This window comes from Homo sapiens, chromosome 9 (genome assembly GCF_000001405.40).
Source record: "Homo sapiens chromosome 9, GRCh38.p14 Primary Assembly".
In the NCBI taxonomy this organism is placed as follows: Eukaryota; Metazoa; Chordata; class Mammalia; order Primates; family Hominidae; genus Homo; species Homo sapiens.
This window is the reverse complement of record NC_000009.12, coordinates 38,376,716-38,400,825: the sequence shown is the minus strand read 5'-3', so window position 1 is coordinate 38,400,825 and position 24,110 is coordinate 38,376,716. Positions and strand designations below refer to the sequence as shown.

Here is a 24,110-nt window from a genome sequence, read left to right as displayed (position 1 = left end):
AGCCTCACACCCAGAATGGAGCCAACCCAAATGAAAGTTCCTAAATGGCCCCGGGTCTGAGGAGAACCGGTGGGACTGAGCAGCAGCTCTGATGCATCCAGCACAGTGGCTGGCTTGGGTGTGTAGGGCTTGCTGGGCTTTGCCGTGGGTTCTCCAGGCTTGGAGGGTTGGTTCCATGTGCTTGCCAGTATGCGCCGCTCTCTGGTCCCTCGTGCATGCTCATGGGGAACTGATTCCAGAAGAGTTCCCTATTAAACCTCTCCACTTCCTTTCCCTCACCTGAAAAAAGTGGGGTGGTAACTCCATTACTCCACTACCTGCTTTATAGGATGGTTGTGAGGCTTCCATAGCATGGCAAGGTGCCTGGCATAGTGTTTATGGAGTAAGATCTTGGTGAGAGTTTGCTAAGTGGATGGAAGCCCCAGAATTGCAACATCTCCCAAGTGTGAGTCTGGTGGGCAGTGTCTGGCCTGAATGAGGACACCCAGTTAAACCTCCCTGCTCACAAGTCTGTGCATTCAGCACAGTGGTAAAATGAGTGGAGGGGACTGGGCTTGCTGGCTCACGCCTGTAATCCCAGCACTTTGGGAGGCCAAGGTGGGCAGATCATTTGAACTCAGGACTTCAAGACCAGCCTGGGCTATGAGGCAAAACCCTGTCTCTCCAAAAAATACACAAATCAGCCAGGCATCATGACATATGCCTGTAGTCCCAGCTACTCAGGAGGCTGAGGTGTGAGGATTGCTTGAGCCCAAGAGGTGGAGGCTGCAGTGCGCCATGATCGTGCCACTGCACCCACCCTGGACAACAGAATGAGACCCTATCTCAATGAATGAATGAATGAATGAATAAATAAATAAATAAATAAATTTTTAAAAGAATTTAAAAATGGGTGGAGGAGCCGTGATGGCTGAGTTTATTAACAATCTGACCTACAGGCTCCTCACTCTCAGAATTTCAGGGCTCAAAACAAGGGACCATGAAGATTGTCTTTTCCAATCCCATTCCATACTGGAACACTGTCTACAGAGCTCGTCTTTGGTTAAGGAGTATTGAAACTTAAATAAGGAATGGAGTTGTTAAAATATTGTGATGTTGCACATTAATCATTAGAGACACCCAGCCGCCCATTTCCATGTCCCAGTGCGTTTATGAGAAACTTTCGCTGCTGTGCAACAGAGGTGCCAACAGCCTCCCAGAGAAATCCGTAGAAGGTGCACTATGGGGGAGTGTCAGGGTCACCTTAGCTGTAGACAAATGGTGTAGAAAGGAGGTCCTAGGAAGGGAGGTGAGGGAACCAAACAGACTCTGAACCCTCAAGCAGCAGTTTCCAGCCAAACCCAAGTTATGATAATAAACAAAATCATCATGTTGCCTAGGTAAGACAATAGGATGTTTAAGAGTTGACTGGGGCCAGGCATGGTGGCTCATGCCTGTAATTCCAGCACTTTGGGAGGCCGTGGCAGGAGGGTTGCTTGAGACCAGGAGTTTGAGACAAGCCTGGGAAACATGGTGAAACCTCATCTCTACAAAAAATACCAAAAAAAAAAAAAAAATTAGCCAGGCATGGTGGTGAGTGCCTGTAGTCCCAGCTACTTGGGAGGCTCAGGTGGGAGGATTGCTTGAGCCTGGGAAGCAGAGATGAGTGGGGTGTGCATTTACAGGAATGGGGGGACTTGAACGTAAGGTGGCTTGTAAGCAGCATGGTCTAGAAAGATGGACCGAGAGAGGGAGGCTCAGCATTCTGCTTCTGTATTGTGGCCTGGCTGGCTTGGATTTGCCTTCACTCCCATCAGTTGGGGAATGAATGTAGCAAGACTAACAATAAACATTATGAACTCTGAGGTTTGAAACTCTGGAAATCCCCAGCATGTCAAGGTGGCCCCCATGCTAGGCTTGGCTTGAAGGGTGGGTATGGTTTGGAAGGGGTGGGGGGCTGTGGAAACGAGTCCAACAAGATGGGCCCATTCTGAGCAGGAACCAGAGTTTTTCTCTACGGGTCTTACAGTTGCACTTTGTCACCCATCCAAGAGAAAACAAAAACAGAAACATTGGGGAGGGGACTTTTGCACCTGACTGGGGGTTGACTAGACCACCTGGGTCCCTTCCATCCCCCACACTCTATAAAATGTTCAGCAGCAGGACAATATGGAGACAAAATGGATTTGCTCACAGAATGTATACGTTTATTTTTTAACGGAGTTAATTCATGGCCGGGTGTTGTGGCTCCCACCTGTAATCCCAGCACTTTGGGAGGCTGAGGCGGGTGGATCACCTGAGGTCAGGAGTTCAAGATCAGCCTGGCCAAAATGGTGAAACCTCATCTCTACTAAAAATACAAAAATTAGCCAGGTGTGATGGCATGTACCTATAATCCCAGCTACTCAGGAGGCTGAGACAGGAGAATCGCTTGAATCTGGGAGGCGGAGGTTGCAGTGAGACGAGATCACACCACTGCACTCCAGCCTGGGCGACAGAGTGAGACTCCGTGTCAAAAAAAAAAAAAAAAAAGAAAAAAAGAAAGAAATTAATTCATATACCATAATTAAACAATTCCATAGTTTTTAGTATTTTTACCAAATCATGCAACCATTACTATTGTTCAACTCCAGAACATTTTCAAAACCTCCCAAAAACAAATCCCATGCCCACTAACAATTACTCCTCTATCCCCTGGCAACCACTAATCTATGTTCCATCTCCATGGATTTGCCTAGTATGTATATTTCATATAAATGGAATCATACAGTCTGTAGCCTTGTACATCTCTCTGGCTTGTTTCACTGAGAAGGATGTTTTCAGGGTTCACTGATGTCACAGCATGTGTCAGTACTTCATTCCTTTTTATGGCTGAGTAATCCAAGGAATATTCCATGGAAACATTTTATTAATCCACTCATCAGTTGACGGACATTTGGGATGTTTGGGCTTACTTTACAGGTGTAATCATGTAAGCATATTCTTTGCCTACTCCTTCCCACAAATTAAGGAAAATCAGTAGCAAAATGAAGGGCAAGCAACTAAAACAGCCAGCAACTGGCACACAGACAAGGAAAAGCACCTCTGGTTTTTAGGTTAAGCCAATGAAGAGTGGGGCCGAGATTTAGTATCCACCTAGTTCAAAACCCCTAACACTTTCCAAGCTTGTGTTCTGAGTTGAGTCGATCCACTAAACCATCAAGCGCACCCATGGGAAAGTCCTTGGATCAGCAGGAAGAGCTACAAATTACAGATCACTGGTTTTTAATCTGTCCTCCAGAGACTCCTAAGATTTCATGGAAGCAACTCATGGGCCACCAAGGGGGCTGTGGTTGGGGGTTAGATAGGTAGAACTCTGAGCCTGGTCCCCATCTCTGATTTAAATAGAACAGCCTTGATTGAATTGCTTTATTTGTGGGGTTTCTTCTAAGAGTTAATTTGGAACAAAGAAAGGGTGTTCTTGGCTTTAAAACAGCTTGGCAAGCATTCGTCAAGGTGGTTGTGGAATTGCTGGACTGTGACTGGGCCTCCCTGACAGCTGCTCTTACGAGTTCTTCTGAGGAACCTTGATGGTGACCGTCTTTACCTCTGTGTAGGCCTTAAGCCCATCCTCACCCAGCTCCCTCCCGTTTCCAGATTCCTTAAACCCTCCAAATGGCGTGTGGCAGGTGACGATGTTGTAGGTGTTTACCCACACGGTCCCGGCCTGGAGTGCCTGGGTGAAGTACATGGCCTTGTCCAGATCCCGGGTGAACACAGCCGCAGCCAGGCCATACCTGGTGTTGTTGGCCCTCTCAACCACCTCCTCAATCTTCTTGAACTTGAACAGGGGCTGCACAGGCCCAAAGATCTCCTCTTTGGCAATTCTCATGTCATCCTGCACGCCACCAAAGACAGTAGGCTTGATGAAGAAACCACGCTCCCCGAAACGCTCTCCGCCACAGAGGAGTTTTGCGCCCTCCTTCTGGCCAAGCTGGATGTAGCCTAGGACTCGTTCAAACTGCTCCTTGTCCACCTGAGGCCCCTGCTGGGTGTCCAGCTCAAAGGGGTTCCCCACTTTCCTCTGCTTTGCTTTCTCCACGGTTCTCTCGAGAAACTCATTGTAGATGGATTCTTCCACGAAGGTCCGGGAGCCAGCACAGCAGCACTGGCCCATGTTGAAGAACAGGGCTTCGTGGCACTGCTCCACGGCATGCTCCATGTCAGCATCGGCCAGCACGATGCTGGGGCTCTTACCACCCAGCTCCAGGGTGACTCTCTTGAGGTTGGAATCGCCAGCTGCTTTCTGGATCAGGTGGCCCACCTCGGTGGAACCGGTGAAGGCAACTTTGTCAACATCCACGTGCTGGGCGATGGCCGCACCTGCTGTTGGGCCATACCCCGTGATGATGTTCACCACCCCAGGGGGAAAGCCTGCCTCCTTGATGAGGGAGGCCAAATACAGGGCAGAGAGGGGGGTCTGCTCTGCCACCTTCATAACCACAGTGTTGCCTGTGGCGAGTGCCGGGGCAAGTTTCCAACCCTGCATGACCAAGGGGAAGTTCCACGGGATGATCTGGCCACAGACACCAACGGGCTCATGCCGGGTGAAGCAGAAATGCTGGCCATCCATGGGGATGGTCTTGCCATGCCACTTGTCAGCCCAGCCAGCAAAGTACCGATACACCTTGATGACCTCATCCAAGTCCAAGGCGTAAGACTCTTGGAAAGGCTTCCCATTGTCCAAGGTCTCGAGTGAGGCCAAGTAGACTCGATCCCGCTCCACTAGGTCTGCCAGGCGGTTCAGCAGCCGGCCCCGCTCAGAGGCATCCATCCGGCGCCATGGGGACCCCAGGCGGAAGGCTTCCCGGGCTGCTTTCACGGCCCGATCCACATCAGCCCGGTCACCTTCAGCCACGTGCCCAATGACCTCCCCGGTGGTAGGGTTGACCGTCGGGAAGGTCTTCTTGCTGACTGCATCTTGCCATTCATTGTTGATGAACAGCTGGTTGTAGGGGATGTCTGGGTTCAGAATGGGGCTTGGGAGGGCTGCTGCCGAGGAGTAGCGGGCGGTCCTGCCCTGGAGGCTAAGCAGCCGGGGTGCCAGGAAGCGCAGCATGCTGACACTCTGGAGAGGGACAAAAGAAACCAGGGTGAACAGGTGGGAGAAGGCAGGTGGCGGTACCCAAGGGCCCACCAGCTCAAACATTTCAAGATTCCAGCATAAAGGACTGTCACCTCTAAAAACACAGACTGTAAGAGCTGTGAGGGCCCTGATGAACTCTCTGGGCCAACTCCATCACGTCCCGCCTATCCTCAGCTCACTCCCTCACCTCTGCTGGGTCTCAAAAGCCACTGTCTCAGCAAGGCCTTCCCTGACCACCCTTTAAAAAATTGCAACCCTTCCCACCCCAACACTCTCTATCCCCGCTACCCTGCTTTACTCCTTCTCTATCTCACATCCCAAATACTATCTTTACAGGCTTATATGTTTGTCTGTCTCCCCCCAGTAAAATGCAAGCTCCATGAGCACAGGAACTTATTTTTCTGTTCCATTCACTGCTACGTCCCCGAGCCTAGAGGTATGCCTGCTACAGAGCAGCGGCTCAACACACAGTACTGAATGATACACTGAGAAAACACTGAAATTGCCACAAAGGCTGTCTAAGAATTGACCTAAGACTTGAGTAGAAATCAAAGGGACTTGGAGATGGTTGTTCTCTGAGAGGGACTTGCTTCATTTCACCTCTGTGCCTCAGTTCCCCCATATGTGAAATGCCTCATGGGGTTATGTTGAATGATGTCTTGCATATAAAAACCCTGGCAAGCTCCACTCAGGACATCAGAACTGGCCGTGCCTCAGAAATTGACCTAGCCCAGCATCCCCCAACCACAGGTCTCAGCATCCCTTTTCAGCTTTCCCAGAGGTGCAGCAAGTCAGGAGGCAGCTGAGAAGAAAAGCTACAACTCTGAAGAGTGTAGACTTCGTTAAAACAACTACTGTTATAAAACTTAAACGGCATATAATACATATTAAATGAAAATTAAACAGAGTGTAGTGTTCCCAGATTAGTTGAAGCAGTTATTCTTCAGTCAGAATTTGAATCTCTCTGCCTTTGATGTCTCATGAGTCTTGCTCCGCCCAGCGGTAAAATGGAATTGCACCTGCCTGTCCCTTCACCCCCAGCCTCTCACCCTCCACCCCTGGGCAGGGAGAGGAACAAAAAACTCAATCAGGAAAGCAAGGCTCCATGTAGGTCCCCGGCCCCATAAAAATCAATGTGATGGGCGTGGTGGCTTACGCTGGTAACGCTTTGGTAGGCCGAAGTGGAAGGACTGCTTGAGGCCAGGAGTTTGAGACCAGCCTGAGCACATAGCAAGAACCGTGTCTCTACAAAAAAACAAAAATAAATTTGCCGAGCATAGTGGTGCATGCCTGTAGTTCTAGCTGCTTGGGAGGCTGAGGTGGGGGCAATCACCTGAGCCCAGGAGGTTGAGGCTGCAGTGAGCCATGATTGTGCCACTGCACTCCAGCCTGGGTAACAGAACAAGACTGTATCTAAAAAAAATAATAATAATCAATGCTGACCAAGAAAGTTTCCCTTCCCCTTGCGGGTGTTAGGAATAATGCTCAAAATCCTAAGGAAATTGAACACTCGAACACAGGATTCTTAGCAAAGCAATTTTACTTCTGCGCAGAGGGATGCCTCCTTGGCCAGTTGCCATGAGAGCACACCTGAACAAAGGGGCACGAGAGCCTTTATTCCTGATGCAAGTCCTGCCCCTGTACCCTTTCCCCATTGGCTGGGGTCAGGTCGTACAATCTAAACTAATCCCGGTTGGCTAAACATTTGATTTATTTTAGATAGAGTGGGCACGTAAAAGAAAGTGGAGAGAAAGGGGAAAGGGTGTCTGTAATGAGCTAGAAAGTTAGTCTTCTTTCCAAATAAGCAAAGGAATGTGAGCTGGTACTGATAACGCTTGGTACTGTGGCATGCCTGGGCATCTAACAAAGGCAAAAAGGAGAAAAATGAAAAAAAAAAAGGGGGGGATACTAAGAATTAAAGAATAAAAGATTGATCAGATTATTTGAAGAGAAACCTCATCATATCCCACAGGGGGAAGCTGAGTCAGCAGATCTGCCAGGGGTGCCCAGGGTTCCATTTAGCTCAGGACTTTGCCATATGCTGGGACACAGCCCCCTTGCCACCAACAGGCCTGGCTCTGAGGGTGAGGAGACCAAAAGGAGGTAGGGGAAAGGGGAGTCACCAACCCATGGGGTAAGGATTGGAGGGGTGAAGCAGTCAGGAGAGGTGGTCATAGGCCAAGGCTGGCAAACCTTTGCAGCCACACCAAGGCCGTTCCTACTCTTGGGGCCTATATGGGGTTCTTGCTGGGGCCTCCACTTGCTGATAGGAAGATCACAGCTCACAGAGCATCATGCTTTACAGTTTGCAGGCTGTCTTCTCACGGGAAATTTGCCAAGCCTCTCTGCAGTCCCTGGGTGGTCAGGGTTGATGATGACCCCCATTCTGGAAGAAGGCTGGGCATCAGAGAGGTTCAGGGACTCACCGAGGACACACAGCAAGAAAGTATAGGAGCCTCACCCCAGACTTCCACAAACCTAGCTTTGCATATCCTCCTGAATACAGGCAATTTTTTACAGTTCACCCACAGCGGGAAGGACCGGACCTTCTCTATCCGCGGGAACTGCAGCGGCGCCCACCTCACCCCTTCTGCGGGGGAAAGGGCGCAACCTTTGGGCTTGTCCAAGCCTCTGGGCTATGGTCAGGGGCCCTCTGTTGAAGTGGGCCGAGTGGGCAGGAGTGTTGAGGTCGAGCTAACGTGGTAAGGTCTGGGGGCGTCTGTGTCCTCGGGGCTCCTGTAGCGTCACCCAGAGGCGGGGGATGGGATTAGGGGACGTGGAGAGAGTCCTACAGTGCAACGGCGGAAAGGCCAGCCCCCAGATGCGGACGCCGCGGCCCAGAGAGGAAAGCCCCCACGCGGAGCCAGGAGCTGCGGCTTCCCGAGGGAGCCGAGGGGAGACCAGCGTTAGTTACCTGCAGCAGGCTCGGGCTCCGGTTCAGGATCACGCTTGGGTTCTGGTTCCGGCCCTCCCAGCTCTGTCCACATGGCCGCCCAGGGCTGGCCGCAGGTCCCGCCTCCGCGCAGCCCGGGGCTCAGCGGCCAATGAGGCTCCGCCTGCGCCTGGGGCGCTGCCTACGTCCTGTCGCCGGCCAAGGCCGCTCCTCCCTCGCCCCGCCCGGTCTTTCCCGGTCCCCGCCCCTCTACCCCCGGCAGCCCGCACCGCTTCAGCGCTCCCTCCCTCGGGTCTCCGCAAGCCCAGTGTCCACGTTGCTCAGATCTAGGCTCCTAAGGCACTGGTTTGGGAGCGGAAACAGAGATACCCAGAGAGGGGCAGGGGCTTCCCCAGGTCACACAGCAAAGTTTTCGGAGACCGAACCCCAACTACACTTTGCATTTCTCCCCGCTGCAAGACGCTGCTTAATCGACTGCCATCCTTGAGACTCCCCTTAACCCCTTCTCTGCCTCGCCTCTCCCTCACTTTTTTTGTCCAGGATTCACTAATTTCTGTCCTCCACTTTCACTGCTCCTTTCTTCAGTTCCTTCAAGAAGATTTTATATTTGGGCATTTTTCAAAGTACATTTTTGTCCTAAGGACAAAAAGAATGTATGCACAGTGTAGAAAGCTTGGAAAACACAGGAAAGGATGAAAAAAGAAGAAAAATATCACCTGTAATCTCTTCACCTACGGTAGCCATTATTACGGTGTTCGTCCTGCTAGTATTGTTTCCTCTGCATCTTTCAAAATTATTTTAATAAAAATAAAATCATATAGTAACCTCTGTTGTGCTGCTTTAAAAAAAATTTAAAAACTTAGCGCTGTATTTTGAAGTTTTCTCCTATCACTAATTACAGATGACATCATCCTCTCCAAGGTGGCATAGAATTCTGTTGTAGGGGTAAACTGTTGGACATTTAATTGTCTCCATTTTGTTGCTATAAAGGTTGCCAAGATGGACCACTGAACATGCATCTCACTCGCTCCACCCTCGCTGCACCTTCCTTCTGGCTAGGGAGGTCCCAAAGCTAACCGCCATGTTTCCCAGCCTCATTTGCAGTTAGAGTTCTGGATGTGGACTAGGTGCTGCCAATTAGTAGTACTCTGCCGGATGTGGAAGGCGGGCACGCATTGGAGGGTATTGTCCTGCCCCTGTAGGGTGGCACTAGCAGGATAGCAGAAATGGGAGATGTTCTGCGGCAGCATTCCTTGTCCCTTCTCCAGCTTTCTGGCTGTGGACCGGCCGCTGTGGCTGTAGCCGCTCCTTGACCTGGCTTCCTGCTCTTTGAATGGAGGCTGCAGGAGGGTGTCTGAAGTAGCCTCAGACAGGCACGAGGCTGGTGGGCCACGTCCATATTGTCCTGAGAGTTGGTCCTGGTCTGGCTAAGGCTTGCTTCTGCCTCCGGCACTTGCAGCAGGTCTGTAAGCACCCAGTTCCTTGTATTAAATCCCTGCCTCTCCACTGATCTAGGGTGCTCACATGCGACTGCTTGGACCTAATTCACTTAGTTCTTTCCTTAAGCTACATCTCTATGGAATCTTTTGCTACCATATCATCCTTAGCATGTTCACAGCCCTTGCTGCAAAAGTTAGCCATCCATGAAGGCACTATGATTGGCATCTTATCACCTTGATGCCCATGCTTTCCTCGGGTTTCTCCAGCAACGGCATGAGCCCCTTGCCAAGGCCCTCCTGCCTCCCCCACAGCACGTGGACAGCCTAGCTCCCCTTGGGCACTTGGCATAGCACTCCAGGACTGATTGACTTAATGATTAACTGACCAATCCTTAAGAGGCCTCATTGATAGAGGGAGTGAGTTTATGGCAAAATGAGTATCAGTCCTCGTGTTAGAGTGCATTGGAAACTGTGGCAGGTCTGAGAGGCCAGCTGCAGACAGGAAGTGACCCCCATGCGGCAAGGTTGGAGGCTGTGCCCCTTGAGGAGCAGCTGAAGGAACTGGGATGTTCACCCTTTAGAACTTGAAAGACAAGGCTGTGCCGTCCAAATCTCTGAAGGGCAAAACCAGATAGGATCTGTGGGGTCCTAGAAGGCAGAGCCAGACCAGTGAAGAATACAGAGGAATAACTCCCAGAAAAAGCAGAACTGGCTAAGGCTGGGAGGGGCTCCCTTGAAAGGCAGTGGGCCTCCCATCACTGGAGGAGTACAGGGAAGGACAGATAACCATGTGGCAAAATCCTAGTTCAGATAAGAACTAGACAAGGGGCTCCCAAACTTAGCTATACATCAGAATTGAGTGGGGAGCTTAGTTTTTTTTGTTTGTTTGTGTTTTTGTTTTTGTTTTTTAACAATCTCCTGGACCTTGCCTTCAGAGAGTCTAAATTATTAGATGTAGGTTGGAGCCCAGAAGTTTTTGTTAAGTTTCTCATATGCTTCCTTTTTTGTTTTGTTTTGTTTTGTTTTGTTTTGAGATGGAGTCTTACTCTGTCACCCAGGCTGGAGTACAACAGTGCCATCTCGGCTCACTGCCGCCTCCGCCTCCCCAATTCAGGTGAGTCTCCTGCCTCAGACTCCTGAGTAGCTTGGACTACAGGAGCGTGCCACCATGCCAGCTAATTTTTGTATTTTTAGTAGAGACGGGGTTTCACTATGTTGACCAGGCTGGTCTCAAACTCCTGACCTCAAGTGATCCGCCCTGCTCAGCCTCCCAAAGTGCGGGGATTACAGGCATGAGCCACTGCGCCTGGCCAAGTTTCTCATATGCTTCTGATATATAACCATATTTGGGAAGCACTGGCCTAAGTGGTTTCTGAGGAGTCTTTGACTCCGTCATGGTTATTTCCAGAAAGTGACTTTGCCTGCAAATGTGTTATGTCTAGATTCTATCCAGCATGCCCACCTTTGACACTTTCTAAGCTGTGACTGGCATCAGAACTCACCAAAGTGGTCCTGTTGCAAGGTATTTACCCCTCCTCAAAAAAAAAAAAAAAAAACTTCCACAGTGCTTGACATTTATGGTTTGGAGAGAAGAATGAATGTGCAGTAGCTGAAGGTAAAATGCACAAATTATTTTTGCAGAGGGTTGACTATTTTCCAGGAATGTGATGGATTCAGCTTTTTAATTAACAAAAAAAGATCCAGGCCCTTTGTAAGGATATTGGACCTGGAGCCTGTGTGGATTGAAGGGGAAAGGGTGAGATAACACAAGCCACAGTCAGGTCAGTGTCGTCCAGGGATGTGTTTACACTGGGCTGGTGGGAGAAGAGAAGCAATTTCTATCCTTCAGCGTTGTAGAGCCTTATATGTCTAAGAAGTTACTGAAGAAGAATCCAGCTCTGAGAATGACGTACAGATCAGCTAGATTCCAAACAAAAGGACTGAAAGCTGCACTGAGTGTTTCTTCTACACTGAGCATAATCATTTTCTGTATTTGAACGGAAGAGGCAAGACTAGGTCAAGACACTGAGGCATTTGCAGGAAATGGAAATTTAAAAATAAAGATACATTTAAAAATCAAACCAATATATACTTTTTTCTTTTTTCCTAAGTGATCCTCTAAGTGAAGCTTACTCTCTGTGAACATGAGCAAGTCTGAATGTTGTTGAACATAACTAACCCCTGAGTATTTGCCACAAACTCTGTTCTCCTCCCTCTCTGTCTTCCTTCCCCTTCACCTCATTTTTATGGTTGAAGAAACTGAGACCCAAAAAGGAAAAGGGACTTGCCCAAGGTCCCTTTGGAAGGGATTAGGGGATTAGTATCCAAGTGCAGACTAGAAGCCAAGCTCTTGCACAATCACACAAATAACACTGGCCTGGAAGCAAAACATGCAGCTGGTGCGTGGGCATCTGCAGAGGTGGATTTCTACCCAAGGCTTTGAAGGCCCCCCTAAGGAGTGCTCCGTTCATGACTGTGGACTGCAGAGAACACTGGTAGTAGCCTCCCTATAATCCTAGCACTTCCAGATTTCTTGACAATAGCTTAGTGCCCTTCACTTCCCAGCCTCCCAACACTTGTGTTAATATTAATCTCTTCCTACTCAAAACACCTAGAGTGGCTTCCATTTTCTTGACCACACCTTAACTGACAGCATCATTGAGACTAAGGAAGACCCAACTGAGAGGAGGAGGAGGTTGGGGTCCGGTGGGGCAGGGAGAGAAGACTGTTGCAGTGCTTACGTGTGGCAATAGCACCTGTAAAGCACAGTTAGAGTTCACCCTAGCAGAGCAAAAGGCTCAGCTTTTACTACGCTGCCCTGGCTGTGGCTCCCCTCCTCATGTTAAGGTCAAGGAGAAAAGCCACATGCAAATGAAATAAACAGTAATTGAAGGCAGAGCCACGTGCAACCTTGGGAGCTCCTTCTTTTGGAGAGATGAGGAGGAGTTTGGACAGAGGTCAAGGGAGGAACGTGGGTGGTAAATGGAAGGGAAATACCAACACCACCCTGGGGCCTGAGAGAGAGCCTGGGCTTCACACCTGCCTGTCTCTTCTCCCACTGACAAGGTGACAAGCAGCACAAAATAAAGTAATGCTGCCTTAACTGTCCTAGTGAGGAAGAAGCTCCAGACTAGACACCACAAACTGGTAGCCCAAGTCTCAAGCCAGCATACATGTTCTATTTGGCCCCAGCAGAGTTGTGGGGTTTTTTTTCCCCGTTTTATGCTTTCTAATGCTTAAACATTGAGATATTTGACATTAAAATGTACTTTTCTATTTGTTCTTGAAACATTGGAAGACTTAGTACTATCAGGCCTGCACGTGGATATGGAACAGTGGCTCAACTAGAGATGCACGTAGTAGCTGCCCCCTTTAGGCAGGGCTTTCATTTTCCAGTTTGCCACAGGCCTCACCACTCCCTATTGCTTCACCTTATGTACACTGATTGTGGTAGGCAGAATAATGGCCCCTAAAGACGTCAATGTCCTAACACCTGGTACCTATGAAGACATTACCTTACATGGCAAAAGAGGATATTGTAGTTAATGATCTGGAGGTGGGAGATTATTCTAGATTGTATAGCCAGGGCCTAATGTAATCACAAGGGTCCTTATCGAAGGGAAACAGGAGTCAGAGAAAGAGATGTGGGGATGGAAGCAGAGGTCAGGTGATGCTGTCACAAGACAACAAATGCAAGCAGTTGGAAAAGGCAAGGGACAGGCTTCTCCCCCAGTGTCTCTAGAAGAAACTCGTCCCTGCCAACACCTTGATTTTAGTCCAAGGAGACACTTTGAGTTTCTGACCTCCACCACACTCGGCTAATTTTAAAATTTTTCTTAGAGATAGGGTCTCACCCATATTACCCAGGCTGGTCTCAAACTCCTGGGCTCAATGAATCCTCCCGACTCAGCCTCCCAAAGTGTTGGGATTACAGGCATCAGTCACTATGCCCAGCCTGATACACTTAATAAAGATTAGCACCAAGCTCTGTGGAAACAGAAGAGGCAGCCCTGAGTTCCTCCCCAGACTTCTTGGGAGAAGATGACCTTTCAGCCGAGCCTGTACCAGTTAGAGTTAGATTGGATGCATATGATGAAACAGTGGTTCTCAACTATGCCTGTGGATCAGCACCACCTGGGAGAGTCTTTGGAAACACCTGAGCAACACTCCACATTGCTAGGAGTCCCTGGGTGTTGTTCTGGGTTATCTGGTTTTGTTGTTGTTTTGTTTTGTGTTTAAGCTCTTCCATTGATTCCATTGTGTAGCCAGTTTTGAGAACTACTGACATCAGAGAAAACCCAAAATAAAAGTGGCTTAAACAAGAGAAGTGTACTTTTCTCTCACTTAAAAGAAGTCTAGAGACAGCTGTCCAGGTCTGGGGTAGGAGCTCTGCTCCATCTTCATCCCAGGACCAGAGGATTCTATTAAAGGGTCTTGAGGGAGAAGGAAGGGCGGTTGACACAATCCAGTTTGCAATTTGAAATGATCATTCTGGTTATAGTGTTTTATAGTGTGTGTCTCCTCCAGTTTCCAAGGAGGAAATAAGATTCCAAGTTATGTTACCAAGAACAGCAGGTGTTCATAATTACTTACGCTGGCAGCTGCTGGCACAAAGGGGTTCATTATAATGTCTATTTTTGTGTATATTTAAAATTTCTGGTAATAAAAAGTTAAAAAAAAAAAAAAGATTATGTTACCAAGTCAATAGCAAGTGTCCTCTGGGCTCAAACACTGTGTAATGAATCTGTTCTTTTATGACCTCATGATTGGGCCCGAGGGGTCCATGTCTTTCTCAGAATCCACGGTTAATTATTGAATAGCCCTCACCAAACCTAGTAGAGTTGGTGCAAAGGGCACTGGCAGGCTATCAGAGCCTGGGTGCTGGTTCCAGCCTTTCTGTGTGACCTTGAGCCACCACCTACCTCCCTCTGGGCCTCAGTCATCGCCACTGTAAAAAGAGGGGTATAGGAGGAGAAGGACACAAGGGCCTCTAGGAGACTGAAGCCCCAGAAAGTTGTAGTAAAGCTGTTACATAGTGTTCATTTGTTCATTGGCAGCAGAGTCCTTGGGCCACAAATGTTGGAGCCTAAATGCATGCTATTTGTTAAACCCAGTCAATTGACTTTCCCATCCTGTTATGGCTGGTTATGGGCCACTATAAGGCAATGGTTGAAGTACAAAGTATTGGCAGGGACCCAGTGTATCTTCATACACTTGCTGATGGAGCGAGCCTGAAATGCTGCCCTACCATCCATGACAGCAGGGCAGATCTGCCAAGGAGGGCGCAAAGGCTTTTTGGATCCACAGGGCTGATGCCTAGGTGACCAGAGTATGGGAGCTGCAGTGAGCGCTGATTACCCTTGCTTTCCACTTTGCCTCTCTGTCTCTAGCTAGTTCTTTCTGGTTCAAAGACAGTTTCCCCAGCACAGTCCCTTGTCAGGCCCAGCAGTGTCCACATCAGCAAGCATCTGCCACTCATCATTCCTTCTTTCACTCAGCTCCTGTTACTGCTGACCCACCTATGCCAGGCCCTGCCGTGTGGAGACAAATAAGACATCATACCTGTCCTCTGGCAACTCACAGACTGGGGAGGCAGACAGACATGGAGACTGGCATGTTTCCCTCACACAGTGTGAGAAAGAGAACCCAGAGAGTGGTGCCAAGAGAGCAGAGAAACAGGAAATGGGACAAAACAACTACACAAAGCCTGGGAAGGTCAGGGGAGGCTTCTTGGAGGAGCTGATGCTTGACCTGATTCTTGAAAGCTGAATCAAGGGGAGAAACAGCATTTCTGGAAGACAGAGCTGCATGTGCCAAAGGTCAGAAATGAGAGGGAGCCCTGTGGCTTTGGGTGCAGTAAGAACCTCCTCCTGGCTGGTGCCTGGGCTGTGATGGGATAAGTGGGGGCCATTGAGAGCCAAGTCTGGAGCCATAGATCATGCCAAGATCATGAAAGGCCTGAAGTGCCTTGCTAAGGAGTTTGGATGTATCCTGAGGAGGCACAGAAGTGACACAGGATGCTTCTCAGTCACTTTGCCAGCTGGGACCTCTGGTCAGCGATGTCCCCCTTGCCTGGGCCTCTCTGGGTCCCAGGCCTGCCGTTAGAGACACCCTACCCACTTGTCCCACCTGTGTTATAGCTTGTACCTGTGTTCAGCAGTTCTTGAGCTCTTGTCTCACATCCAAGAAGAATGAGGACATGCTGACAGTAGAAGGGTGAGGATGGGCAGAGAAGAATTTTATTGAACAATAGAACAGCTGTCAGCAGAGAGGGGATGTGGGAATTGGTCCCCCAGCCCTGCAGCTGGGTGGTTTCTCTCCTCAGTGTGGCTGGGTCTGGGGCTTTTTATGGACTCAGAATGGGGAATGCGTGTTAATTGGTTTGTGAGCATGCAAAAAAGGTTAAAGCGAAGACACCACCCAAAGGAGGGCATGAGAGTGTAGAAAACCAATTAGAAAAGGGTAGGCTTGTGTAAAATAGGTGAAGGGTGTGATCAGTCAGAGGAAGGTGTGCCAAATGGGAAGACAGGTTCTCAGTCTGGTCCAAGGATCTAACTTGTAGCTTGGCTTTTAGGCTTTGAACTGTCTTTGGCTTGGAGGTGGGATTTCACTGGGGACCACTCCTATCTGCCTAGGCATTTGGCTGCCTCCTGTCAGTATCAGAGGGATTTAAGGCATAAGGGTGACTTGGTTAGATGAGAACCACTTGATTTCCTCAGATCCTATGGCAGTGAGTGAGGAGTAAGTTCAGCTCTGAGTAACAGAGACTCGTATAAAAATGGCTTACATAAGATGGGAGTTGATTTCTCTAAAAAAGTAAAGGAAGCCCAGAGGGAAGCAGGTGAGGGAGGTGGCTCAATGATGCTCAAGGAGGTGGACCCCTTCCAATTCCCACTGGTCACCCCTAGCAGGGGAAACTGTCTTCATGATCCCAAATGGCAGCCACCACATCTACATTCTAGGGATCAGAAGGCGGGTGGGAATGAAGAAGACAAAAGGGCAAAGTGTGCATGCCTCTGGCTTTAGAGGAAGGCTCCCCAAAGCTAACCCCCAAACAACTCCATTTATATCCCATTGGCCAGAACTTACCTACATGGTACAACTATCTGCAAGGCATGCTGGGAAATAGAGTCTTTAGGGTGGTCAGAATATTGGGGCTTTCATTTCTGTGGCTTGGTGGGAAGAGAGACACTGGGGGCTAACTAGGAGGTTCTGTCACAGACCCCTCCAACTCTGCTATGAGGAAAAGATTACTGGCTCTGGTTGACAGATAAGGACACTGAGGTTCAGAAAGAGAAAATTACTCACTGGTAAGTGGTGCATCTGCAATTGCAAAGCTTGGCTTGGAATTCCACACTCATAAAAGCACTAGGCAAGCTAGTGGAGGTGACTGACTTTGCACTGTCTCCCCTCTCCAAATCTGATAATCTGATTCTAAAGGTCCCCCCATAGGTGTGCCTCAGTGAGTCGTCAAGGAAGAGCAACCCCTGCCTCCCCAATTCAAGCAATTCTCCTGCCTCAGCCTCCTGAGTAGCTGGGACTACAGGCGCATGCCACCACGCCCGGCTAATTTTTGTATTTTTAGTAGAGACGGGGTTTCACCATGTTGACCAGGCTGGTCTCAAATTCCTGACCTCAAGTGATTCACCCCGCTCAGCCTCCCAAAGTGCTGGAATTACAGGCATGAGCCACTGCACCTGGCCAAGTTTCTCATATGCTTCTGATATATAACCATATTTGGGAAGCACTGGCCTAAGTGGTTTCTGAGGAGTCTTTGACTCCGTCATGGTTATTTCCAGAAAGTGACTTCGCCTGCAAATGTGTTGTGTCTAGATTCTATCCAGCATGACTACCTTGACACTTTCTAAGCTGTGACTGGCATCAGAACTCACCAAAGTGGTCCTGTTGCAAGGTATTTACCCCCTCAAAAATAAAAAGTAATAAAAAGAAAACCTTCCACAGTGCTTGACATTTATGGTTTGGAGAGAAGAACCAACGTGCAGTAGCTGAAGGTAAAATGCACAAATTATTTTTGCAGAGGGTTGACTATTTTCCAGGAATGTGATGGATTGGAATGCCACACTCTTAAAAGCACTAGGCAAGCTAGTGGAGGTGACTGACTTTGCACTGTCTCCCCTCTCCAAATCTGATTCTAAAGGTCCCACCATAGGTGTACCTCAGTGAGTCATCAAGGAAGAGCAGCCCTTTCTTTTTTATTTTTGAGACAGAGTGTTGCTCTGTCACCCAGGCTGGAGTGAAGTGGCACCATCTCGGTTCACTGTGGCCTCCGCCTCCTGGGTTCAAGTGTTCTCGTGCCTCAGCCTCCCAAGTAGCTGGGATTACACATGCATGCCACCATGCCCAGCTAATTTTTGTATTTTTAGTAGAGACGGGGTTTCGCCATGTTGGCCAGGCTGGTTTCAAACTCCTGACCTCAAATGATCTGCCCGCCTCAGCCTCCCAAAGTGCGTGAGCCACTGCACCCTGCCTGAGCAGCTTTTTCCTGAGAGGATTCCAGGATGGTTGTTCCCACCCCTGGCCTTATAGAATCAGGAACAGATCAGGAGAAAGGGGGTCCTTAGAATTTCTGGTCCAACATCACCATTGTATAGATGAGGAGACTAAGGTCCAGAGAAGGGAAAGACTTCTGTAGATCCCACAGGGAGTGAGTGGGAAGGTCTGGATAGGGTCCAAAGTGAGAGCCCACATATAGTCCAGTCTTAGTTATGGCTCACCTGGTGCTACGTGTGGGGTTTGGACAACCTTTTCAGCTAGACTGAAGCCTCATTAAGGCCTCTGCTACGGGTTGGTGAAAGAAATTGCCCCAGTGTTGGAATAACAAAGATGCTTCCCGTTGTCTATCTGTTCACACGGATTATGGGCCATGGAATACTCCTTCCCTGGAACAGAGAGACAACGTGTGTGAGGACGAGGATAGACCCACAAAGGAGAGAGGGCACAAGGTGCTGTGGGCAAAGCCCCCAGCTGGGGACTGGACCCCAGGCTGTCTGACTCACCATGAGCCCTCTGGGCCCAATTATCCTCACGGTGAAGGGATTGCACTAGATTACAGACTAAGCCAGGTGCAAGGGAGCTGCTTACCGGGCCCCCACCCTCTGGTGGCCCCTGAGGAAGCTCCAAGGGGCCCGGTGGCTCCAGGCTTTCCTAGATCTGCCCCTGGGCTGATGCCTGGACATGTTCATGAGGAACGGGAAGGAAAGTGATCAGGAGCAGGAGCCAGAGAGTGTGGCCTCCACCCCGTCACGAAGGGTCCTTCACAGGAGGATGGTTGGGCTGGGTCTGTCCTCCCAGGCCCAACTTCTTGGGCCAGAAATACCTGTTAGAAATGAAGGTAGAAGCAGACAGATCAGGGCTCACCGGCTCAGAAATGGCTCCACTCCCAGCTGCACTCCTGTTCAGTGAATCCAGGCAGGCTGGATTCTGCTGTTAAAGGATGGGAGAATCTCCTCAAGAAGCCTCTCTCTAGGCTAAGAAGGGCTGGAGCCTGTGCAGGGGCCCCAGCCCAGGCCCAGGGGTGAGATTTGATATACTGAGGAATGGAGCATGGGCACAAAGCCTGGCTGTAATTCTGTGCTCACCCTAACCCTAACCCTTGTGATCTGGTTGGCCATGGTGAGTCATGCGGAAGTTCAGGGGGTCCCAGGCCAAGGGCCGTGAGGACAGAGTGGAGGTGGCACCTAGGGGCTCAGAGAGGGGCTGCTTACAAACTGGTAGGTGAGCATTTTGTATTAAAGTACCCGTATGGCTGTACTAGGGCTTTTCCATGGAAAACGAGTCTTATATTATCATTTATGACTGAGCCAGAGGGGTTCATCCCTGTGATGGGAAGAATATGAATTAACAGCCTTGTGACTCTGTACAGAAGAAGAGCCTGAACCCCAAGGAGGGTCAGGGTCCGTCCCAGGCCAGGCAGGGAGACTGGCAGGGCAGGGCAGGGCGGGGTGGAGTAGAACCCCAGGCTGTGCATCTGTGGCATTTGAGGTGCAATTACTGCCTGCTGGGGACAGATCAATGCCTCTAATAGACATGTTTATTTAGGGAATGAAAGGCTCTTTCACTCTTACCGAGGAGGAGTCACGAGGCAGCTGAACAACCCTCCAGCTGACCAAGGCTGGCATCTCAGATCACATTCCACCTGTCCCATGATGGGAGGAAGAAACCGGTGCACTGAACGGGGCTGTTTATTCACCAAACAATGTTTGCAAAGCTGCTGAATCATTATCTTCTTCTTATCACTGTTCTCTCCTTCACAGAGCATGGGGCTCCCTAGTGTGCAGGCTTCAGGCCTTGCAAAACCTGGATCCTCCCTGCTTGTTTTCCTGATTGCTGCTCTTTGGAAGCCCCTGAGTTCCATTCCCAAAGCTCTCCTGAGCAACAAAGCCATTTCTTCCTCCGGCCAAAGACCACCCCTGGAGAGCACAGGAGAGGAAAAGCAATTATTTTCGAAAACTCAAAGGCCTCCTCTTCAGGAAGCCCTGGAATCCATAGTAAACAAAGTTCCCCATCTTATCTGTGAGAAACCTGAAGGAGGATTTTAAAATTCTGGTGTGCCTGTCAGAGCAGAATACGTGTAAATAGGCAATTTCCTGCAACCTTAAGGCACGCTGGGAGGCAGACACTTACCAAGGTGACATTGGCCCAGGCGCCTGTTCTGTGCTTTGAATGTGGCACTAGAATCCCTAAACCAAGCCCGAGGGATGCAGAGTTCTGATTAGATCCTGCCTTGTGTCTCCCTAAGGTGTGAAATGCTTGGTTTTAGTGCACCTGAAAAGGTCACTGAGTAAGTGATCTACTGAATCTTTCTATTCATAAGAGGGGATATAGCAGGAGGCACTGAAAGATGATCCAGGTACAGGTGGGGATACTGAGACCCAAGAGGGAAAAGGACCACTGCACATCCACAGGGAGTCAGTCGTGAGTCACAGTAATGAATTGGTGGTTTACTATGTCCTACTCACTTTACAGGGATTACCTTACTTGAGGCTCATCACACCCACGTGGGGTAACCTAACACTGATTTCTATTTTAGAGGAGGAAACAGATTTAGAGAGATAGGGGTGGTGCTTGGTGCTGGCTACATATTAGAATCATCTGGGGCCTTATATTAATAAGTACTGATTCTGGTCTGATTCTTGAAGGTCCATTAAAAACAAGATTAAAATAAAAAGTACTGGTGCCTAAGCCCCTCTCCTGAGGCCAACTTGAATTCTCAGGGTAGGCCTTAGCCATGGGTATAATTTGAGGTGCTCCAGGTGATTCTAATATGTAGCCAGCGTTGAGACGATGGGGTTGCAGAATTTGCTCAAGGTTACATGGCCAGTGAGTGGTGGATTCTACCCCGGGAGGTCTGACTCCACTAGGCCTCACCTGAGCATGCTGGAAATCAGTGCAACTCATTACCCTGCAAAAAGTATCTGCTCCCCTTAACATCATCTTCTGTGAGCCTGAAACCTCTAGTACATGCAGCTCTGGGACCACAGGTGTGCTTTCTTTCCTGCTCTAAACTCTCCTGATGGTACCAAATGGATATGATGCAGGGTATTCCTTTGCTATTGTTGCTGTAACAATTGCTACAAATTTCCAGTTCAAAACACACACGTCCAAGGAAAGGTGCAGTGGCTCACACCTGCAATCCCAGCACTTTGGGAGGTGGAGGCAGGTGGATCACTTGGGGCCAGAAGTTTGAGACCAGCCAGGCCAACATGGGGAAACCTCATCTCTACTAAAAATACAAAAATTAGCCAGGCGTGGTGGTGCACGCCTGTAGTCCCAGCTACTCAGGAGGCTGAGTCAGGAGAATTGCCTGAACCCGGGAGGCAGAGGTTGCAGTGAGCCAAGATCGAGCCACTGCACTCCAGCCTAGGCAACAGAGTGATACTCTTGACTCAAAAACAAAAACCAAAAACCAACCCCTCCCCCCCACCCCCCACACACAACCAATCTCTTGCAGTTCTAGAAGTCAGAAGTGTGAAATCAGTTTCACTGGGCCAAATTCAAGGCATCAGCAGGGCCCTGCTCCTTTCTGAGGCTCCAGGAGAGAAGACATTTCCTTGCCTTTCTCAATTTCTAAAGCTGTTTTTCTTGGATTCCTTATTTCATAGCTCCTTCCCCTCTCGTCTTGCTAGTGTTACATTGTCACCTCCTTCTTCTGTGTCAAATTTCCCCCTCCCTTTTCTCCCCACCCCCCTTCCTTCTCTCTCTCCCATCTCTTCTTCTACTTTGTGAGGACACAGCAAGAAAGGGAGAAGGCAGTCATCTGAAAACGAGGAAGACAGCCCTCACCAGAAACTGACACTGTTGGACCTGAATGTCTCCATTCAGGTTCCACATAACCATCTGTGATCTAACTGAAGGCCATTGGGCCAAAAACACGTTGGTTGATATCAGTTTGGTCTAAGTAAAATTTTTTTTTAAAGAATGTTGTAGCCAGCCTCCAAATGGTTCCCAGTGAACCCTGCCTCCTGGTATTCCCAGCTGCCTGCATTGTGGGGTTCCCTCCCACACTGTATCAGGGATGGTCTGTGTGACCAACAGCATATGGTAGATGTAGCGGTGGTGTGCCCGGAATTGGTGGGTTCTTTGCTCACTGACTTCAAGAATGAAGCCGTGGACCCTCACGGTGAGTGTTAGTTTTTAAAAGTGGCGTGTCCGGAGTTTGTTCCTTCTGACATTCGGATGTGTTCGGAGTTTCTTCCTTTTGGTGGGTTCGTGGTCTCGCTGGATCAAGAGTGAAGCTGCAGACCTTCGCAGTGAGTGTTACAGCTTTTAAGGCAGCGCCTCTGGAGTTGTTCATTCCTCCTGCTGGGTTCGTGGTCTCACTGGCTTCAGGAGTGAAGCTACAGACTTTTGCGGTGAGTGTTACAGCTCATAAAGGCAGTGTGGACCCAGAGTGAGTAACAGCAAGACGTATTGCAAAAAGCAAAAGAACAAGGAACCCACACCATGGAAGAAGACCCGAGCCAGTTGCCACTGTGGGCCCGGGCAGCCTGGTTTTATTCTCTTATCTGGCCCCACCCACATCCTGCTGATTGGTCCATTTTACAGAGAGCCGATTGGTCCATTTTACAGAAAGCTGCTTGGTCCGTTTTGACAGGGTGCTGATTGGTGCCTTTACAATCTCTGAGCTAGACACAAAAGTTCTCCACCTCCCCACTAGATTAGCTAGATACAGAGTGTCCACACGAAGGTTCTCCAAGTCCCCACCAGAGTAGCTAGATACAGAGTGTCAATTGGTGCATTCACAAACCCTGAGCTAGACACAGGGTGCTGATTGGTGTGTTTACAAACCTTGAGCTAGATACAGAGTGCCGATTGGTGTATTTACAATCCCTTAGCTAGACATAAATGTTCTCCAAGTCCCCACCAGACTCAGGAGCCCAGTTGGCTTCACCCAGTGGATCCCACTCATACTGGTGCCGCAGGTGGAGCTGCCTGCCAGTCCCAGCCGTGCGCCCGCACTCCTCAGCCCTTGGGTGGTCGATGGGACTGGGCGCTGTGGAGCAGGGGGCGTTGCTCGTCAGGGAGGCTCCGGCTGCGCAGGAGCCCATGGAGGGGTGGAGGAGGCTCACGCATGGTGGGCTGCAGGTCCACAGCCCTGCCCCGAGGGGAGGCAGCTAAGGCCAGGCGAGAAGTCGAGCGCAGCTGCTGGCCCAGGTGCTAAGCCCCTCACTGCCCGGGGCTTGCGGGCCACGGGGCCTCCGAGTGCGGGGCCCGCCGAGCCCACGCCCACCCGGAACTCCCGCTGGCCCGCAAGCGCGCAGCACGCAGCCCCGGTTCTCACCCGCGCCTCTTCCTCCACACCTCCCTGCAAGCTGAGGGAGCCGGCTCTGGCCTTGGCCAGCCCAGAAGGGGGCTCCCACGGTGCAGCGGCGGGCTGAAGGGCTCCTCAAGGGCGGCCAGAGTGGGCGCCAAGGCCGAGGAGGCGCCCAGAGCGAGTGAGGGCTGTGAGGGCTGCCAGCAGGCTGTCACCTCTCAGTGGTATGTCCTATCCAAGATTAGATGATGAAAGATTGAGGCCCATCTTGGGCTTTTTTCTCTGATCTCTCACTCCGGGAAGCAAGCTGCCATGTGAGTCTGGAGAGGCCCACCTGGCCAGGAATGGAGGCCTCCCTCCAGGCTGCCAGCATCCCCTTGCGTGCACTTGGAAGTGGGTCCTCCAGGCCAGGCAAAGCTTCGGGTGGCTGCAGCCCTGGCTGACAGCTTGATCCAAATCCCACGAGAGACCCTGAGCCAGAACCAGCCAGCTAAGCCACTCCTGGATCCTGATGCTCAGAAATTGTTGTTTAAAGTTGCTAAGTTGGGGACAATCTATTAGGCAGCAATAGGTAGCTATTACAAGAGATACTTTCAGTCTCTTTTCTAGTATTGGTAATTTTTAGTCCCTCCAATGAGGCACTTTGCCAACTTTTCAGTAACTCAGAGCACTTTTTTCCACTTTCCGGAAGTGTGCAGAGATTCATTTTCTCTTTTAAAAATGTTCAGCTTATTTTCAGCCACTGATCTCTGCATTCCCATGTTCTAATATTAAACAAGGCCAAAAGAGGATGACTTAGAATGAACTGATGTCTGAAAATGAAGAATTTGCTGGGACAAGTGATGTGGCTTATCATTGGGCTTCACTGACATTGAGGGTGAGGTGCAGAAGGGACCATGA

The 24,110-nt window shown here is 49.8% G+C and overlaps 1 protein-coding gene and 1 long non-coding RNA gene across 3 annotated transcripts in view, besides 5 other annotated features; both read right to left on the bottom strand.

Moving 5' to 3' along the window:
• Window positions 2,165-8,124, bottom strand: ALDH1B1 (aldehyde dehydrogenase 1 family member B1). 2 transcript variants are annotated; one of them, XM_011517802.3, is made up of 2 exons: window positions 6,261-8,124; window positions 2,165-5,086 (listed from the first exon to the last, which is right to left on the bottom strand). In XM_011517802.3, the coding sequence occupies exons 1-2, from the start codon at window positions 6,390-6,392 to the stop codon at window positions 3,524-3,526; spliced, it is 1,695 nt and encodes a 564-aa protein (XP_011516104.2). In that variant the 5' UTR covers window positions 6,393-8,124; the 3' UTR covers window positions 2,165-3,523. The 2 variants fall into 2 exon arrangements, with proteins under 2 accessions (XP_011516104.2, NP_000683.3); NM_000692.5 differs by having other exon boundaries at window positions 8,019-8,124.
• Window positions 7,648-7,737: an enhancer, noted in NCBI's record as "active region_28416". NCBI's record gives its function as "activates an Ori minimal core promoter by ATAC-STARR-seq in GM12878 lymphoblastoid cells {active_cell/tissue: GM12878}" and the evidence as "EXISTENCE:reporter gene assay evidence [ECO:0000049][PMID:35858748]".
• Window positions 7,778-7,827: an enhancer, noted in NCBI's record as "active region_28415". NCBI's record gives its function as "activates an Ori minimal core promoter by ATAC-STARR-seq in GM12878 lymphoblastoid cells {active_cell/tissue: GM12878}" and the evidence as "EXISTENCE:reporter gene assay evidence [ECO:0000049][PMID:35858748]".
• Window positions 8,038-8,357: a silencer, noted in NCBI's record as "silent region_19918". NCBI's record gives its function as "represses an Ori minimal core promoter by ATAC-STARR-seq in GM12878 lymphoblastoid cells {active_cell/tissue: GM12878}" and the evidence as "EXISTENCE:reporter gene assay evidence [ECO:0000049][PMID:35858748]".
• Window positions 11,680-11,974: a silencer, noted in NCBI's record as "tiled region #2586; K562 Repressive non-DNase unmatched - State 7:EnhWF". NCBI's record gives its function as "represses a minimal TATA promoter and a strong SV40 promoter by Sharpr-MPRA in K562 cells {active_cell/tissue: K562}" and the evidence as "EXISTENCE:reporter gene assay evidence [ECO:0000049][PMID:27701403]".
• Window positions 19,075-20,023: an enhancer, noted in NCBI's record as "OCT4-NANOG-H3K4me1 hESC enhancer chr9:38380800-38381748 (GRCh37/hg19 assembly coordinates)". NCBI's record gives its function as "activates a minimal SCP1, AML or CMV promoter by ChIP-STARR-seq in primed H9 embryonic stem cells {active_cell/tissue: H9 hESC(primed)}" and the evidence as "EXISTENCE:reporter gene assay evidence [ECO:0000049][PMID:30033119]".
• LOC107987065 (uncharacterized) overlaps window positions 19,621-24,110 on the bottom strand; it is a 65,083-nt gene continuing 60,593 nt past the window's right edge. The window contains exon 3 of the long non-coding RNA XR_001746670.2: window positions 19,621-19,866. This is a non-coding gene — a long non-coding RNA (uncharacterized LOC107987065). The remainder of the gene's footprint in view (window positions 19,867-24,110) is intronic.

Bases quoted from the DNA above. Each gene is read 5' to 3' on its own strand.
- ALDH1B1 (XM_011517802.3), bottom strand. From the start codon at position 6,392: ATGCACCACTATGCTCGGCAAATTTATTTTTGTTTTTTTGTAGAGACA. The intron at 5,087-6,260 runs GTAAGCCACCAC...GTCCCTCTCCAG, and splicing joins CCTACCAAAGCGTTACCAGC to AGTGTCAGCATGCTGCGCTT.